This window comes from Homo sapiens, chromosome 15 (genome assembly GCF_000001405.40).
Source record: "Homo sapiens chromosome 15, GRCh38.p14 Primary Assembly".
Taxonomy (NCBI): Eukaryota; Metazoa; Chordata; class Mammalia; order Primates; family Hominidae; genus Homo; species Homo sapiens.
The window spans coordinates 27,936,415-27,952,372 of NC_000015.10; the positions used below are offsets into that span (position 1 = coordinate 27,936,415).

The window sequence follows — 15,958 nt, forward strand, 5'->3', positions numbered from 1 at the left end:
AGACTGCACAGGCTTTCTCTCAAGAGAAAACTCCCATTCTTTCTAGTTTCCCTTTAAAATCCAGCAAAAGAAAGACCATTTTTTATAATCTTCGTGTCTTCCTGCACTGCTTGGCCATCAGCCTGAACTGTTTGTTCATATCTCATGCAATCGTGCACCAGGCACTGCTCTTCAGGCCTGTGTGTATTACCTGATTCAATCCTCACAGCAATTTTAAAGCCTAGCTCCAACACTCAGTGGCTCTTATGGGCACCTGCTGTGTGCTGCAGGACACAGGCTTAGAACCAGGAAGATTGAGCTCCAGATCTGCCCTCTCCCTCCTAGACCCAGAAAGTGGCTGTGACTGCCCAAGATACCCGCTGTAGCTGCAACACCAAAGCTCGGAGTGAAGCTAATGGCTTCCATTCAACACCTGGAAGCTTCTGCGTGGTTTCCAATCTGGCTTAGGAAATGCCTCAATTACATCAAGTGAGTCATTTAAAAGAGTTGAGGTTGGAAAGAATAAAGATTATTCTATTTCTGAGCATTTTGCCTCAAATAAAGATTTCCACCAATACAGACAGGCCAGTGGCGGGGGAGGGGACGCTGCTGACTTTCCCCTCCCTCTCTCTTCACCGTCCCCCCACATTCTCTGCCCCAGAGGCTGAATTGTGCAGACCACATCAAAAGGTTTCATGACCGAGGATGCCAGTCAGGCTCTGCCCTTCACAACCAGAGAGTAAATGTGCCTGTTTCTGAGTTCTTCATAAATGGAATCATATAGCATATACTCTTTTCTGTCAGATTTTTCTTTTGGCCAACACATTTGTGAGATCCAGTCATGTAATACGTTCATTTTTTATTTCTGTATAGTATTCCACTATATGACTCTCCCACCATTTGTCCGTTCTAGGGGTTGATATTTGAGTTGTTTCCAGTTTGGGGCTATTATAAATAGGCTGCTATGAGCATTTTCAGAGAGTCTTTTGGTGTGCAAATGTACATATTTTTGTTGGGCATACCACTGTGAACAAAATTACTAAGCAGAAGATATACATTGTTCTAAACTTTAGTAGATGCTGTCAAATCATTTTCAAAAGTCATTGTACAAATTTACAATCTTATCAGCAATGCATGACACTTCCTACTGCTCCACAATCTTTCAGCACTCAGTACTGTCAGTCTTTTTTTCTAACCATTTAGGTGTGCATATAATGGCATCTCGTTGTGGTTAAATTTTGCATTTTACTCATGACTTACAAGGTTGAACACCTTCTCATATGCTTACTAATACTTTCAGTAATTTCAATATCTTCTTCTGTGAAGTGTCTACTTAAGATTCCGTCCATTTTTCTATTGGGGGGTTCTGTCTTTTCTTATTGCTCTATAGATGTTCTTTTTATATTTTAGATATAATTTCCAAATGTGACAATGGATGCTTTTGCACACACTTTTTTCACTCTGTGGCTTCTTGTTCACTCATTTAGTAGTACACTTTGAGACATAAGTTCCTAATTTTAAGATAGTCAAAGTTATCAACCTAATCTTTTACCATTAGCACTTTTCATATCCAATTTAAAAAGCTGAGTCACAAATATAAATAAGAAAATGATGGGCCAGCTTACCCTAGTGATTGCATGTTATGCATGAATAGACTGTAAGGTATGTTGGTAAGTTATTGCTGCAATAAAGCTACATAACAAAAAAAGGAGTTGAGTCACATGGAGATGTTTGATGACATAATATGATGTGATGAAGACACTCAGCAGGATCCCTATTTTACAGAGGCCACTGAACCTTACATAGATTAGGTCCTCTTAAACCAAATGGGCACGTTGGGGAGGGAAGTGCATGTAGCTGTGCAGGAGGGGAAGAAGATACACACCTGCCTCAGCTTACGTGCCACCTAAGATCTGATGAGGGTCAGGAGGTAGCTAAGCATCCACCCTGTCTCACCAGGCGGCATTCTAGCCCTTCTGCCCACAACTTGCAGAGGCAAGACTCCAGGCTCATTGCTCACTAGACCAAGTGGGCTGATTCCAGCTTTTCATCAGCAAAAGTGTTTCAATGTATGCATTCCACCCCACTTCCAAAAATGGAAGGGAGAAAATTGTGATGGCAGGGTCAGGGAATGGTACAGCCCTACAAATATGCCATTAGAAGGCAGTAACTAAAACTTTCAGGACACTCAAGGGTTACTGTGCTTAGAGGCTGGTAAGTTTCACCAAATATGAAGACCTCTAATGAGAACACACAGACACAGACACAGAGGCAGGATTTTTGTCCTTGATAAACACAAGTACCAGTTACCCAGGCTGTCCCCTGAATGCCAGCTCATTCACATTCTAAAGCACTCACATTGTCAGAGAAAGACAGTGGCAGGCTGAGCTCCCGGGATGGACTGAGAGACAGCTGCATCGATGCACATGCCCTGAGCACACTCAAGTATGGTCTCTGTGGCCTTGGGAGTGGCGGACTGGACTGAGCTCTGCCCCGAGGACTGCACAGGCTCATGGAGAAGACAGCTCACATACAACTGCCGTGATGGACCTGTGACGGCTATGCTAGCCTCACACACCAAGGTACCATAGGGGTCTCTCAGCTAAATCCATACGCTTGCTGAGGCCATGGGGGAACCAACCAGAGCTTAACTGAACATTGGAGCTCTTCTGTGGTCTCAAGCATCTTTGAAACATGTTGAAAATCAAACAGGCTCTGAGGAGCTTCATATTCTTGACTGTTAAAACTCATGTGAACTAGAACATCTATGACAAACTCATAAAAATGTCAGCAAGAAAGGAAGGCATCATAGCTGTTTTCTTAACTTACTTTTATTTTCACTATTTTAGGTCTCAATATCAAATGATTTTCTAACCTCTACTTTTAAAAAATTAATTGAAATGTTGGCCATGTTTATGATGAGTATTATTCACCACTCCAAACAAGACTCTGCTAACATTTGTACTCAATTTCTGGTACCCTCGGGGCCTATTAAATGCAGTGATATGTAAAATATGAATATTATGCTCCCTAGATATCATGAAGGAGTAGAATTAAAATTGTGAGTGCTTAAAATGATGTCATCTCATTGTGGTTAAATTCTGCATTTTACTGATGACTTACGAGGTTGAGCACCTTTTCATATGCTCATTTATTCATTAAAATGAGTAATCCTTACACAAGAATAACTAAGCATAAAGAAATAATGCTAAATGCAGTTAAGAATTCTCATTTTGCACTTGTGCATTTGGGCTTTGTTAAAGAATCAGGTTCGTTATCACAGAGGCAGGTCAGTGCTGCAGGTGCATTAGACACGGTCAGGAATCGTGCCTCATTCACAGGTATCCCTGGTGCCTCTCACAGTGAGGAGTGGGTAAAAACACACTCAAAAATAACGAATCAACAAGTGAATGAACAAGCAGCTAAAGTATCTGCATTAAACACGGAATGCAAATTCTCAGAATGCCACACAACTTGGATCTTCTTGTAGCAAGTAACGTTTACTCCTCATTGCAGGTTTTCCTGTGGTCCTCGGGAACCACCCAGGTCACTGACTGCACAACTGCAGTGAGCTGCATTCCATGTGGATGGAGCCTGGAGAGGCGGGCCACAGAGCAGCCTGACCCTGAGAAACACACCCAGCTCTTCTTGGACATCACACAGCTTTGCCGTTGGGACTGAACCCCCTTTCTTCTCAGGCTCCTCAAAATCCAAATAGAATGCATTTCTGATTGATACATTCCATGCTCACCAGCATCCAAGCAGATTTTAGTCACCCCCACTGGTGGGCCACTATGTAATATTCTAAAGTACCAGATAAAACATCATATCATGTAAAACCCTTAACAAATCGTGTAGGAGGTGTTTTGTGTATCGGTTCACTAGTAGCTTGTCAGAGCTCCCCACACCTGTCACTCTTCTCCCTACTGGACCCCCAGAAAGGTTTCCAGCCCTGTAGTTAGGTGAAGCCACAAGACCAACCCGGCCATTGGGCCATGAGCAAATGAGACACACATTCCTAGCCTGGCATTTACAGGCAGCTGTCAGTTCTATCCCCTGTCTCTTCCTTGCCAAGATGATCCTGAAAGCTGCTGTTTCTATGGTGGCATCACAAAACGCCAGTGTCTCTGTCCAGCAGGGACCCTACTGACCAGCACTAAAGATGTCACCAAGAAAAAGTGTGGTTGTGTCAAGCTTCCAAGACAGCAGGGCCAGTGTTTCACTCAGCAAAGCCTATCCTATCCTGATACATCCGGCACAAGAAAATATCAAATGGATAGGCTATATGTCATCTGGTCTGTTTGCAAACGTTGAAAGAAAAATTAGGTCAGTCATGTTTGCAGTTGTTCAGTTTTGTTCCAATTAACTGTGTCATTCACTAGCAATGGAATACCTAATTTCCACAAATGCACATCATAAACATCACCGAAAAACTGCTTTTTATTATTAAAAGTTTGAGAAGTGAATGGCCACAGCACTATTCTCTCATAATTTATTTAAATTCTTCTTCAGATTATTAATGTTGAGGAATTTAAATGTGACCACAGTGTAGCTTCAGACAAGCAAGTGAAAATGTTGACACAACCTAACTCTTCTTAGCATTGTGACTGCAAAGTTAGGGATATCCTGAGCCCTGAAAGGAAGAATCTCTTGGTCCCAATATTTCTAATAATTCTGTAGCTGTGATTTCTCCAGACTTGGTTTTCTATAGTGAATATAAAGACTGTCTTTCTTATTAATGCTAAGGGGAAAATATAATTTACATAGAAAAATGTTAATATATATTGAGACAATGTAGAATCTTAAGGGTAATGACCAATGAAAAAATTGTAAGTAGTAATCATTCGATGTGAGAATGTTAACAATCTCTTGATGAATGCATATCTAACACCTTACTCTCCCACCCATAACTCACAGATACTTTTATTCAAATAGAGACCACTAACATTTCTGAAAATCCACAGTTTAAAAGCTAATGTGGTACTCCGTCAAAATTATCCAACCTTTTAAAAATCTCGCAGTCTTACTGTTATATGCAGACCTATGTGATCCAAGCCATTTGGAATGAAAAATGAAGTGAGAAACAGTCATTAAATGGATTTGCTCTACCCCCAAATTCATTAACCTGTGGGTACTCAATGGAGGATATTGGCTGCATTATTGAAAACATTTTGGAGCTAATAAAAGGAGACCGCAACCAACGATGAATCCCCGCATGTGGAGAATCATGACCAACCCTATGAAATGCTTCACTAGGCTCCTGGCAAGGCTGCGGTTTTAAGCAACTAGAGGAGAGACACTGGCCTTCCTCATCCTCATATGTGTGCATGATGCTCAGGAAGGGAGATTCAAATGGGCAAAAATGCTCCAGAGTTAGGAACAAATCTTCATAGCAAAAGAAGGCTGTTGTTAATGTAAATCACAGCTGAAATTTCCAAACAGATGGAAAAAACAAGTTCACATGTTATTTAGTAAAAGAGCATTTCATAAATGGCCAATAAGCACATGAAAAGATGCTCAATGTCATTCATCACTAGGAAATGCAAATCAAAGCTGTAATGAAGTACCACTTCACGCCTGGTATGATGAGCATAATCAAGGACACACACAATAACAAGTGCTGGTGAAAGTGTGGAGAAATCAGAACGCTCATGCATTACCACCAGGAATGTAAAGGTGCATCTGCTCTGGAAAAGCAGTTAGGCAGGGTTTCTAAAAGTTCAACAGAGAGTTGCATATGACCTTGCAATTCCACTCCTAGGTCAAACAGCTAATAAATGGATAAATAAATTGTGATACATATTATATATTACTATATATAATATATGATATTATATATGATATACATACGATATACATAATATATATGATATACATATATAATATACATAGTTTAATAGAAAACATATATATGAATATCATACAGCCAAATGAAATGAAGCACTAATCCATGATGCAACACGGATGCACCTTGAAAATGTTATGCTAAGTGAAAGAAGCTGGACACAAAAGACCACATGTTAAATGATTCCATTAAATGAGATGTCCAGAATAGGCAAATCCAGGAACAGAAAGTAGGATTAGTGGTTTCCAGGGTCTGGGGGTTGGGGAAAGGGGGGAAGCAGTGTGTGAGTGACTACTAATGGGTATAGGATTATTTGGGGAATGAGGAAAGTGTTCTGGAATTGGATACTGACAATGGTTGTACAACTTTGTGAATATACTAAAATACACTGAATGATATAATTTTGCAAGATAAATTTTATGTTGTGTGAATTCTATATCTCCATTTTTAAAAAACTGAGTCATTCTCTCTCCCCCATGATTTCATTTCTTCAGTGTTATGATGAAATTTGGTAATTCTACCCACGGTGAGGATAGTAAGGAAAGCAGCTAATTATTCTAATTGACTTATAAATCCAAGATCCATATTATATTACTTTACATTATGTTATATTATATTGCATTATATTATATTTATCATCATTCTGAAATAATCTCTTGGATATTTACATTCATCTAAGATGAATATTTGATGAAAATTAGAATAGAGCCATCCAGGGATGTAAATATTTTTATTATCAGGTTAACACAAACTGTATGTAATAACTGCCTTAAATAGTTTACATATATCAGGGCTATTTTCTAATATGCCAAAGCCTTTCCAGTAAGAGCTCCTCATTTCTTTTGGGGATTTCATTAGGCCTTTCATCTGTAACTTTGTAAACCAAAAACAAATCTCTAAGCCCCTCAACCAACTGACGGACCCCCTCTCAGCCAAGGACATTTCAAAGAAATCTGAAAAACTAGTTCAGGGCATGAAGGGGGTCAGCCGTGCCTCACTGTACCCCACTCCCTTTGGAATTCAGACACAACTCACCAGCATTCACATTAAAACAGGGATCTTCAGACCGATAGAATAGATGTAGCAATAAGATACCAAATTCCATCCTGACTCTAGTATAACATCACATGACAGACAGCAGGCCCTGAAAGAAATCAAAGTATTTTACCCCAAAATACGCTTCTTTGACACATTTGGAGATGGCCTTGCAAAGTTGTCTTTTGTGGGGAAAATCTATATTCTGTAGAGAATCCCCTTCCCTTTCCAAAACCTTTCCCTAAGACTCTGGTAATTTTTTAGGTCTGATAAGAGCTCTGAAACCTGCTACCTGGAGGCTTCATCTGCATGATAAAAACCTTGGTCTCGGCACACGTATACATATGTAACTAACCTGCACAATGTGCACATGTGCCCTAAAACTTAAAGTATAATTTAAAAAAAAAAAAAAAAAAAACCTTGGTCTCTGCAACCCCATATCTTAACCCAGGCTCTTCTTTCTATTGATTCTGGGACTTTAGATAATAACTCTTTCAACCAATTGCCAATCAGAAAGTCTTTGAATCCACCTATGACCTGGAAGCCCTTATCCTGCCCCCTGCTTCGAGTTGTCGCACCTTGCCGGACTGAACCAATACACAACTTACATGTATTGGTGAATATCTTCCTGTAACTTCTGTCCTCCTAACATGTATAAAATCAAGCTGTAACTCAACCACCTTGGGTACATGTTCTCAGGATCTCCTGGAGTGGTGTCATGGGCCGTGTTCACTCATTTTTGCCTCAGAATAGATCTCTTCAAATAATTTACAGAGTTTCACTCTTTTCATCGACACCTTGACTATGGAAATTATCGTTTTTGGCTTTACCATTTGGTACCCTTGGCTTGTCTCCACATCAGAGCTCTGAAGGTCTTGGTGTCTAAATTAGCTGTGTAGTCCTTGCTGGCCCTAATGTGACTGAAACCACCTTTGCAAAAATTGCATCAGTGAGAAAATTATGACAGTGAGGGAGATCTGATCTATCCAATCCCCTTCTTGCCTCTAGCCTTCAAGCTGCCCTCAATTATTCTTGGGCTTAAGGCAAGCTAACTTTGGCAGACGTTTAGTTTATAGCTTAAATGATAACAGCCCTTCCCCAAAACTCAATTGCATTTGTAAAGCTAATCAAAGAACACCAGGCTAGGAGGATAGGAGAGACTGAATTCTGCTAAAGTGTAGACATAGAAGATTGCCAGCCATTATTCTGGAGGTCACAAGATATGCAACTTCCCCAGTTACTCCTGCAGATAACATCGCTATTGGAGAGCCTAAGACTGGCCTTTTGAGATACGTTTTCAGGGTTTTTGCATGTTTGAGACTGATGGCTCCACCTGGACTGGCCAGCTGCTCCTGTGGCTTACTCAGAAATGACTCTGCATGCAGGAGAACCATTTCCCACACCCCTATGATTTACACCCTCAACCAATTGGCAGCAAGCACCCATTGCCTAACCACCCTCCCCGCCATTCTTCCCCAAAATTGTCCTTGAAAAGCCCTAGCCTCCAAATCAGAGAGGCAGATTTCAGTAATAATACAACTCCCGTCTTCCATTTAGCCAGGTCCTACATGGGTAAAACTCCTTCCCTACTGCAACAACTCTGCCTCCATAAATCTGGTCTACCTCAGCAGTGGGCAAGAGGAACCCGCTGGACAGTTACATGAGTCCCTGGTAGAGTAAATATAGATCCATCTCCCCTCTAGAGAAGACGACCTAGGAGAGCAGCGATATGGTTTTTATGTTCACCACACTAGCCCCAATCAACCCCTAGGCCACTGCCTGCATGTGTTGTACAAATGCATGAATAAGTGAGAGGATGGATATGTGAATGGCTTAGCTGAAATGAATCTTACTAGAAACTAGAGTGCATAGAACATATATTAGGAAGCCTTGGGAATGTCTGTCCAGCTCATAGTGACCTCCTCTAAGAAGTATGCCTCAGCCACTCCAGGCCACATCTCACCACTTGTTCCCGTCCACCTGCTCAGAATTTCCTGTGCTAGGAGATGAAAGAAACCAACAAGGCCAAGCAGACTCCTCTTCGCCTGGAAATTGGGGGTTCAAAATAGCCATTTCTCTGTGTGTGGCTGAAATCGAGGTCCTATAAACTGGGAAACTGATCAGGCAAGCACTATTCTGCCATGAGCAGAAAAAAGATGCACTAACTGGTCACGGAGAAGCAAGGAGCTGAGGGCAGAGCACTGCAGATGCCGGGGTGGGTGGGCGCCCTCCATCCGGACCCTTCCTCCTTCCTGAGCCTGCCCCCAAGAGGCCCCAGTGTCCTTGGAGCCTGTCAGCCTGTTATTATTCTAATAATCCTCCATTTTGCTTAAGACAGATCCAATAGATTGCTTTATTTGTAGCTAAAAATACTTTCACAAAGACAACAATAAAATTGCTCAACCAGAGGGACACCAAGGGACAGGGAGAAGACCAGCAATTTCAAAACCATAATCAGGGAAATAATGACGGAAAATTTTCCAGAACTGAAATCTAATCAAACACATCATGAGAGAATCTGGGGTACATTCTGAACTAATTATCAAAGGAGGAGGCCTAGGAAACAGCTCATCAAGGCTCTGAATTTTAAGGCCAAAGATAACATTTTCAAGCCTGCCTCGCTGATTCTTTTCACAGGTTCATAATCAGTTATCCACAATCTTGAAACCCTAATTTCAGAAAAGCAAACTTTTTCTATATATTTTGATGTAAAAAAATTCAAAAAACCCTGACTTGAATAGGAATGAGGTTGTTTGCAGTCTTTATTTGTCCCACTTTGTGTAAATATTCATGTTTCACTGCAGAAATCATGCTCGGATGACAGGGTGCTGGCCCTGAACCTCTCAGGGTGTGTTACATTATATCCAAAATTCAGTATGCTCACTGAATTATCTTTCTAAAACACATAAAAAAATCTGAATTTTGAAACTTCTGGGGCTCAGAAAGCAATACCCCAAAATGAAGGCCTCAGAAGTGTTAAAGCAAGCTAACGATGGCCTGAGAAGGACTCTGTACTTCTCTATTTGAGTCCTTGTGGATGAACTGTAACCTAGCTTAATAGTCAGACAAAGCGAAAACCTAACTTAATAGTATGCACCTCTAACAATGGCTGAGTGTCAGCCAATCCCCGCAGCCATACTTCAACCACTCATAGGCTGCTGTATGTTCAAACTGTGTTCAAATAAGGCAAACGCCGAGCTGTAACCAATGTCACTGTTTCTGTACCTCACTTCCGATTCCCGTACGTCACTTTACCTTTTTTGTCTATAAGTTTGTTCTGACCATGAGGCACCCCTGGAGTCTCTGTGAATCTGCTGTGATTCTGGGGGCTGCCCAATTTGCGAATCGTTCATCATTCAATCAAACTCCTTTACATTTAATTCGGCTGAAGTTTTTGTTTTATCAGAAGGAAAAGTTTTCTCTGCCGTCCTCCTGCCTGCCCATCTCTCAGTCCCATTCTCCCCTGAGACTGCCAAAGACACTAGAATCTTTCCCAAGGCAGGTCATTGAAACCAGAATCCTTTTCTGCAAAGCCAGCCATAAAATCTAAAGTGTTATTCTCATTTTCCCTCTGCCTTTCTGTGTGAAAACTGGCCATGAAGAAACTGTCTGGCCTGCCTTGTTTGACTGTGGGTCCTACAACTCCCATTCCAGAAAGGGGCCTGCCCCACACTCAGAAGGAAGGAGTGCCGCTCAGAGAGGCCAGGAGGACCCTGGACAGACAGGCCCTGCTGGGTTTCCCACTCAGTCTATCAGTACCCAATCATACACTTTTTCTCCAATCCCATTTCTACATGGCTGTCCACACTTGGCTGAACCTAAGCTTTAACATGAACAATTTCTCCTGTATCTTTGGGTCTTCATTCTGAAGGCTCCTGTGTACACATGTTAAATGAATGTGTTTGCCTTTTCTCCTATTACTCTGCCTTCTGTGAGTTGGTTTTTCAGCAAAACTCAAGAGGCCCAAGGGGAAAGCTCTCCCTTGGCCCCTGTGAAACCCATCTGGCACTAAGGGTCTCATGCAGGCACTGCAGACCTCTGCAGAGCCAGCGCCCAGGCTGGGCTTGGTCTTGCTGTGCTGTGAGGTGATGGTCCCTGCACATTGGGAGCCACCTCTTTACCGGATGGGTGTGAACTGTGACCCTGGCCCTTGCTCACCCTTCTTTGCCATTGTGCCACCTCTTGCACACCCCTGGGTCCCTCAGGGCTCTCCTCTCTGTCACCACAGCCAGCTCCGTGTGGCCCGACAACCCTCACACAGATGCACCTGGAAGGTCTGCCCTGGAGCCCATGCCCCTGATGCCTTCTCTGCCTGGGCCGCCCTGCGGGTGCGGTCGCATGGCCTCGGCACATGCAGCTGGACACATGCACTCTGGCATCCCACGGGAAGGAGCTATGACCAATGGGCCATGCGCACCAGCCAGTAAACATTCCTTCTTGCTCTACTCAACCCCACAGACAGCCCTGAGGTGCATTTGGTACCTCCACTCAGGCAGCCTTGCAGGATGGAGCCCCAGTGGCCCGTCACGAAGGCCAGCACGCTGGGGCAGTGGTGCCTGCGCTCACTCTCCTCACTGCCCGGCCCCCATCCCTCACTCCTCTTCTCTGGGTTGAAGCTCCCGGATGAAGAACACACATGTGAGCCTTTGCCTCAGGCTGTGCCCCAGGCTGGGTCAGCCACATAGGAAATTCCCCACAATAGTTAAGTTGGAATCTGTGAGCAGCAATGAGAACTTTGTTCGTGCATCCTGAGAACCTACACCTTGCTTCTACTAATGAACCAGGCATTAGCAGCAGGCACCAGGGAGGGGAAATGCAGACACACAGACCATGTCCTTGAGTCTAGCTGGGAAGGGGGAGGACAGAGGACAGACGAGGAAAGAAATCATAAGAATATATTTAAGGTTTGCATAAGGTGCTGCGGAACTCCAGGGGGATTCTCATTGTGCCACGTGCCAGCAAGGGTGTGAAACAGCTGGAACTCCCATACATGCTGTGGGAACGCAACGGGGTTGGCCTTGCTAGAAAACAGGGCAGCAGCTGCTTTTAAAATAAAATCTACACCCACCATATGACACAGCAGTGCCACTCAAGAGAAGGAAATCAACCCAGAGAATAAAACCCTAAGTTCACAGAAAACCATGTGCTCAGAAGTGTCTGGAGTAGTTTTTTTGTTTTTTGGGGTTTTTTTGTTTTCTGTTTTTTGTTTTTCTGAAATAGTCTGGCTCTGTCATCGAGGCTGAGCCCAGTGGTGCAATCTCAGCTCACTACAACCTCCACCTCCCAGGCTCAAGCAATCCTCCTGCCTCAGCCTCCCAAGTAGCTGAGACTACAGGCGTGCACCACCACACCCAGCTAATTTTTGTATTTTTTGTAGAGACGGGATTTTGCCATGTTGCCCAGGCCGGTCTCGAACTCCTGGGCTCAAGCAATCCACCCTCCTCGGCCTTCCAAAGTGCTAGGATTACGGGCATGAGCCACTGTGCCCGGCCAAACATGAACCATTGATGCACACAGCAACTTGGGTGAACCATAAAGGCATTACACTGTGTGAGACAAGCCAGTCTCGAAAGGTGGCATACGATCTGATTCCATGTATATGACAGCCCCAAAAACACAAAACCATAGTGATGGAGACAAGATCAGTCCTTGCCAGGACCGGGGGAGGGTGGCTACAAAAGGACAGCTGAGAAAGTTCTGTAACGGAGCTGGCCTGTGCTCTGACTGCAGTGGCAGTTACACAAACCTACCTATGTGTTAAAATCCAAAGAACGCTACATTCAAAGGAAAAGTCAGTTTTGCTCTATGATAATAAAAAAAAAATAAAGAGAAAGAGTCAATGCTATGTCTAGGTTAGGATTCCTAAATGAAGGAATGTTATCTGATGTCACATTTTGTTTCACAATGCACATTTTTATATGACAGCACCCTATGTTATATGAAATTACATTGTTATAATGTCACGTAGTGTACAGTGTGTGCGCTGTATTAGATGATGTCACGTTACATGATGTACATCGTGTGATACGACATCATTTCATATCATATGACATCACATTGAACGAGGCTCAACTTACACAGCAGGACACATTGAAAACAGAACTTCTGGCCGGGCATAGTAGCTCGTGCCTGTAATCCCCGCACTTTGGGAGGCTGAGGCGGGAGGATCACCTGAGGTCAGCAGTTTGAGACCAGCCTGGCCAACATAGTGAAACTCCAGCTCTACTAAAAATACAAAAATTAGCCGGGTGTGGTGGCGCATTCCTGTAATGCCAACTACTTAGGAGGCTGAGGCAGGAGAATTGCTTGAGCCCAGGAGGCAGAGGCTGCACTGAGTTGAGATTGTGCCACTGCACTCCAGCCTGAGCAACAGAGTGAGACTCTGTCTCAAAAAAATTTAAAAAAACACTGTTACATTTAAAAAAATTAAAAAGAAAACAGAACTTCACCAAAGATAAATGATCACATTGCTACTGGCTGAAGACCCGGGAAGATCTTGTATCCATTTTGCCCTTGTTCTATCAGAAAAGTTCTTATAACTCTAAGGAAACTGTATTCCATTAAAATATATGCCAATCAAACTTTTCTCCTAGTCAACCTAACCTATCTTGATAAATATGCAGTATCTGGATCCCCAGATAAAATCACCTGAACACAAGCCCTAACTAAAAACAAAACAGGATTTAAAAGCAGAAAATAAACATGTCCATCATTCACAGATGTAACAACCACACAAAAGGAGATGAGACATTTTGTAAAAAAAACGTAGACTTGCAGGCTAAAAGTTTCATAGTAACCAAGATTTTTTAAGTCCATATAGTTAAAGATGTGACTTTAAGTATTAAAGTATTGTTTTTAATACAAAGACTGTTGCCAAATGTTAATAAAATTGAATGCAAGCTCTTATATCTTTTTAGTTTTTAAAATGCCTGCTATGTTCCTCTAAAGTAGACTCTCAAATAAAATCAGGAGCAAAATTATCTGTGAACACCTAATGGAACCTCTCTGCCCACAAAACACTAGTTTTTTAAATTTGTTTAATTACCAGTGGTGACCACGTAACATTCTTGTAGTCATTAAGGTTTCTAATGTTAAAATTACATTAGGCCTGAGGCGTAATTAAAAATAATTACACTGCAGCAATTTCTAGATGTAATCCACCAAATACAATTGAAATTCACAAAATCGTTACCACTCCAGCTTTGGATCATTACCTCATCAGGATTCCAAGCAGATCAGCTCTCAGGTGTGGATAAATAATACCTGCCAGCTTGAACCAAGCCCAGGCCACCTGGCAAGTTGGATTTGAGATTATCAAGAGAAAGAAATGGAGGGGCTGCAAATACATAACACAAAGCTGGAACTCCAGTCAAAAGCACATACATCATGTGTTGTGTGAGAATCTAGAAATGCGGCTTTTTTACATAAGAGAAAAGGAAGACCAACTTCTAGCCCATGAATGTCTGATGGTTTCCAGGAACCCCGGAAGCAATGATGTGGTGCGAATCGCTGAAGCTTGAGGCATTATCCATCTATTTTACAAAATTAAGAGGCTTCACTTTCTACGGCAGCTGCACTCCTCAAATTTCACAGTGAACCAAGGTTTTATACAAAATAAGATAAAAGTTGGGTATTTTAACCATCTTAGCAGAGCTCACTTTTGAAGGAAAACTATGGGTAAAGCTTTGGTAAAAGAAAAGACTGTGACACCACCTCAAATTTATGCTTCTTATAAACCTACACTTTCATGTGGGGTGGGTTTTGTTTTGTTTTCAATAAGGATACCAATGGAGATAACTGTGAAATTGATAAGAAACGCCTGGGAGAGTGGAGAACGTTTATGGAGGGTGGAGGAGGCCAGGGGTTGACAAGCTCTGTGGTGAGCTCCCCCTGAGAGAGCCACATCTCAGGTGGGGATAGGTCCTGGCCACAGCACAGGCTAGAGAAAGTGGAGAGGTCTGAGAGCCATGGGTGTGGTGAACGTGGGAGAAGAGAAACCAATGGTGGACGGTGGGAGAACAGTTTCATGCGCCAGATGCACCCTCAGACAAGGCAAGTGGGCCCTGCAGAGCACCGGCCATTCGCCAGGGCTCTCCCGAACAGACTGTCACCTAACTGGCATGGTAGGCGGCACAGATGGCAGCGCTGGCCTTGCCCATGTGGCTCCATCTCTTCTGGGAACCATGTAAAGATGTGGTTATTAACTACAATAGACAGGACAGTGCCCACTCTATATTCCTCCTCATGGTCATCCCTGGAGGGGCTGAGGACCCATGGCACAGAGTCTAAGGGGCCAGAGATGCATCTCTCTCTCCCTCCCTCCTGCCCAGGAAACCAAAAGGAAAGGCGCCCTTCTTCCCAGGGCAGGCTGCCCACCCTCCATCTCAGCCCTCTCTGGCCTTCCACCAGCCCGGCTGCCTGTGGGCAAAGTCAGTGTCTGGGAACAGGCTCTGAAACCTTCCCATCCAGAATGTGACAAAGCCTATGAACCAAAGCTAAATTAGACTCACCAAGATCAAGATGAATGCCAGGGACAAACGAATTGAGGAAAAACATGAAGATAACAAATCCCAACACTGTCAGGCATTTGGCGAGCAGAATCCCGTCAGATATCCTATGCTGTAAGAGAGAAACCACAGCTCATTTACTCTGCACAACCTTCTGACTCCTGCAGCGTGTCATAACCTACGCAACTGGAATCACGACAGATTTCACGAGGATGAAAAATGTAACCTCTCGAACTTGAAAGAAAATGGCAAAGTACTGTGTTACAAGGAAACCCGTACAGATTCAGGATTACTGCATTCAAAATCTTTATGAAAGATAAACACAGATGTCAAGAGTAGCACAGCCCTGTTATGAAACACCTGGCCGGCAGGTATCAGAGGATGACGGGGCGTTTCTACAGGGGCCTATGCTGTCTTCACTGTTCCTTTCTCTACCACGCCAAGCATGCGGGTGGGGCCATGAGGCTGAGCCTTCTCACGGAACTGTGACTCCCAGATAAGGCTCTGGCCATGTTCTTTACACGACATGCATGAGGCCCCTGGAATGCAGGGGGTGCACTCTTAGCGCTGGAATGACACCCGCGAGAATCCA

At 43.2% G+C, this 15,958-nt stretch overlaps 1 protein-coding gene across 29 annotated transcripts in view; it reads right to left on the reverse strand.

Annotated features, from left to right (window-relative positions):
- OCA2 (OCA2 melanosomal transmembrane protein) overlaps positions 1–15,958 on the reverse strand; it is a 380,308-nt gene that overhangs the window by 217,407 nt on the left and 146,943 nt on the right. For 28 of the 29 annotated variants that reach the window (XM_047432619.1, XM_047432618.1, XM_047432609.1 and 25 more), the window contains one exon: positions 15,370–15,478. In XM_047432619.1, the coding sequence (XP_047288575.1) occupies positions 15,370–15,478 (109 nt within the window). Of the gene's footprint in view, positions 1–13,321; positions 14,151–15,369; positions 15,479–15,958 lie in introns of those variants that run through there. The other variant, XM_017022265.2, reaches the window with a different exon arrangement.